Consider the following 3,664-nt stretch of genomic DNA (forward strand, 5'->3'; position numbering starts at 1 on the left):
GGAGTGGGTTGCTGAGGAGCAAGACTCTATACTTTCAATCAATTCAACAACTGTTGATCATCTGCTCTACACCAACTTGCACCCTCGGTCACAGCAGTAAACCAGACAGAGCAATCCCCCAGCCATGTAAAGCTTAACATTCAGGCCTAAGGATAAGGAGTCCTTTGGGAGCACAGCCCTACCCAGGGCAGCCCATTTCTTCACACAGGCATTTTATTATTATTATTTTTTGCTTTGTTGACTGATACGTAAATTGCTCAAATAAGTTCTCATGATTCAGAATTACAAAGACTAAGAAGTAACATTAAATACGTAAAAGGGAACAGCCTGTTAGTGCCTAGACCTGAATTCAAACCCAGATGCTTTTAGCTACACAAATAGATGTGTCTCAGGGATTCCTATTTAAGACCCCAAATAAAAACATGTCTATCTGGAAGTCTCGTGGGGATTTTGTGTGTGTATGCTTTGTTTTGTTTTTGTTTTATGAATGGCTGTCACCTTATGTACAAATGGTGAACTAATTAGAGTAAAATTTAGACTACATGATTATGACTATGAATGAAGGTCTTTATAAAATATTTAGGAATGTGTAGGTGTTTCTTTCACCTTTAAGTGAAAGCAGCAGCAAAGAACATAGAAGCTTTAAATGTTGTGAGGATGTTTTCACTAGAAAAGTCTCTGTAGAACATTTTTGATAAATACATAAAAATGCTGGGTAGCTACTTGCTGTTTACACTAAATGACTGCTTCCAAAATGTTCCCAGAAGGTATATAGTGCTTGGAAGTGGTCTGAACAATTTCCTGAAATATTATTTACTCCCCAGATTCCTTGACTCAATCTACCTCTGTAAAGCAGCCCAAGCCACCTATGTCCTGGCTGCTGAGGGTTCCACCGGCTTGGGTTCCTGGTGCCCCTTCTATGAGTCACAGGAGTTAAGGTGAAAATGATCCTCAATTTCCTCTCCATATTTGCATTTTTAAGATGATTGGTCAGGCCTTCAGGGTCTCCATGACCCAGTAAAAGCAAACCCATTCTTATTCCCACCACCCCTTCCTTGCAATTGTAATGCCTCCTGCAGATCTCAGTGGGTGGGGGTGCCTTATGGGGACTGGGGATTGAGAACCGTGTCACGGACACCCTGGGTTTGCACATGAGGCTGGCACCATTGCCCCCACCTGGAAAGCTTCATCTTACACTTCAGTGAAGGAAGGGCCTCGTGTTTTGCATTTCAATTATTTGTTTTCATTGAGTCTGAGGCTTTCTATTCTCAGAAAATTCACCCTTTTGATGCAACATTTGAGTATAATTACAAGGCATGAAACCAAATAAATGAATCATTGCAATACTTTAAATTAAATATGACCAGGTCTAGACACATGAGAGGGTTTTCATTATTCAGGGACACAAATGGGCAGAGATTTCAATTATGTCTAACAATATCTTCTACTTTTGACATGAAAGAGTGCCATGAAAATAAAAATGAAATTTATCTTATTGACGCAATTTTGAGAGCGATTCATCTGCTTATTGCAACAAGTAGAATTTTATTGTTAGAAGTCAATTAAAAGTATTAAAAGATTTAAAACTTATAGGTAAAAAAAACCAGCCATGGTGGAAAAACGTATTTATTTCAATCGTAAAAGGAGAAAAAGTTGCTTAAACACTGAATGTCAAAATAAATGAAAAATATAGAGCCACACAAAAACTCTACATGGACTTCATAGTGGCAATATTTATAATAGTCAAAAAGTGAAGGCAACCTTAATGCCCACGGACAGGTGAATGGATAAACGAAGGGTAGTGTATCGCTACAGCGGAATATTATCTAGAGCCGGAAGGAGAGAAGTACCAATGCATGCTGGAAATGAACCTAGAACACATCATACTGAGTGAAAGAGGCCAGACACACAAGGCCAGGGACCACATCACCCCATGTATAGGAAATGTCCAGAAGAGGCAAACCTACAGTAGCAAAGGTACATTAATGATTGTCAGGAAATGGAGTCAGGAGGGATTTGATTTGAGATGAATACTAATGGGTATTTTTTTGTTAGGTGATAAATATGTCCTAAAATTAGATTGTAGTCTTATCTGTACGACTTTTTAAATTTACTAAAAAAAAAAAAAAAAAAAAATCAAACACAGAAATGGGTGCTGCAGTGAGCAGTGATCACGCCACTGCACTCTAGCCGGGGTGACAGAATGAGATCCCATCTAAAAAAAAAGGAAAAGAAAAAGAAAAAAAAAAGCTGGACATGATGGCTCATGCCTGTAATCCCAACACTTTGGGAGGCTGAGACGGGCAAATCTCTTGAGACCGGAGTTCAAGGCCAGCCTGGAGCAACATGGTGAAACACCGTCTCTACTAAAAATACAAAAATTAGCTAGGCATGATGGCACCTACCTGTATTCCCAGCTACTCAGGAGGCTGAGGAAGAAGGGTCATCTGGTGAGGTGGAGGCTGCGGTGAGCTCTGATTGCACCACTGCACTCCATCCTGGTGAAAGAACGTATGTTTCTTTCACCTTTAAGTGAAAGATAGGAAGAAGGAAAGAAAGAAAGAAAGAAAGAAAGAAAGAAAGAAAGAAAGAAAGAAAGAAAGAAAGAAAGAAAGAAAGAAAGAAAGAAAAGAAAAGAAAAGAAAGAAAGAGAGAGAGGAAGAAAGAAGGAAAGAAAGAGAAAGAGAAAGAAAGAAGAAAGAAAGAAAGAAAGAAAGAAAGAAAGAAAGAAAGAAAGAAAGAAAAAGGAAGGAAGGAATGAAGGAAGGAAAAGAAAAGAAATTGAATACCCCAGAGTGAGACCCCATCTCAGAAAAAAAAGAAAAAAGAAAAAGAAAAGAAAAGCAAGAAAAGAAATTGAAGTTTGTACTTTAGTTGGGTACATTGTGTGGTATATAAATTATAACTCAAGAAAACTGTTTAAAAATTGAATGGAAGATAATACAATGACCATTCCCTCAAATGCCACACATAACTTTAGAAAAACTCATTTATCTTATTTATTTATTTATTTTTTGAGATGGAGTCTTGCTCTGTTGCCCAGGCTGGAGTGCAATGGCACTATCGCAGCTCACTGCAGCCTCCGCCTCCCGGGTTCAAGTGATTCTCCTATCTCAGCTTCCTGAGTAGCTGGGATTACAGGCACGTGCCACAATGCCTGGCTAATTTTTTGTATTTTTAGTAGAGACGGGGTTTCACCATGTTGGCCAGGATGGTCTCGATCTCCTGACCTCGTGGATCCACCCGCCTCAGCCTCCCAAAGCACGCTGCTGCACTCCAGCCTCGGCAATGAGTGTGAAACTCCATCTCAAAACAAGAACAAAACCACTACGGCCTCTCTATTCATTCAACCCCATAGAATTTGTGTTTACACCTCCAAGTTGAATCTTTTCCCATTGGCTAAACTTTTCTCTTAAGATCAATGATCTAACCAGCCTAATGAAGGCTTTGCCTAATGATTTTCCTGTGCGCTGATCCTTGCTGCCCTTTCCTCCCTCAGTGTTCTTTCTGTGTGTTAGGAGCGTGTTACTAGATTTCCTGGGTAAGTGACAGTGTTGGGTCACATTGCTCCTCAGAGGGTTATTTTAATGACAAGAGGAAAAGTAATATGACTTAGGAAGTGCCTTACACCCTGCCTGCCACACAGCAGGTCTCAGCTTTTCTC

General features: G+C 39.8%; 1 annotated feature.

Annotated features, from left to right (window-relative positions):
* Window positions 925-1,219: a silencer, noted in NCBI's record as "tiled region #9233; K562 Repressive non-DNase unmatched - State 24:Quies". NCBI's record gives its function as "represses a minimal TATA promoter and a strong SV40 promoter by Sharpr-MPRA in K562 cells {active_cell/tissue: K562}" and the evidence as "EXISTENCE:reporter gene assay evidence [ECO:0000049][PMID:27701403]".

Source organism: Homo sapiens, chromosome 12 (genome assembly GCF_000001405.40).
Source record: "Homo sapiens chromosome 12, GRCh38.p14 Primary Assembly".
In the NCBI taxonomy this organism is placed as follows: domain Eukaryota; kingdom Metazoa; phylum Chordata; class Mammalia; order Primates; family Hominidae; genus Homo; species Homo sapiens.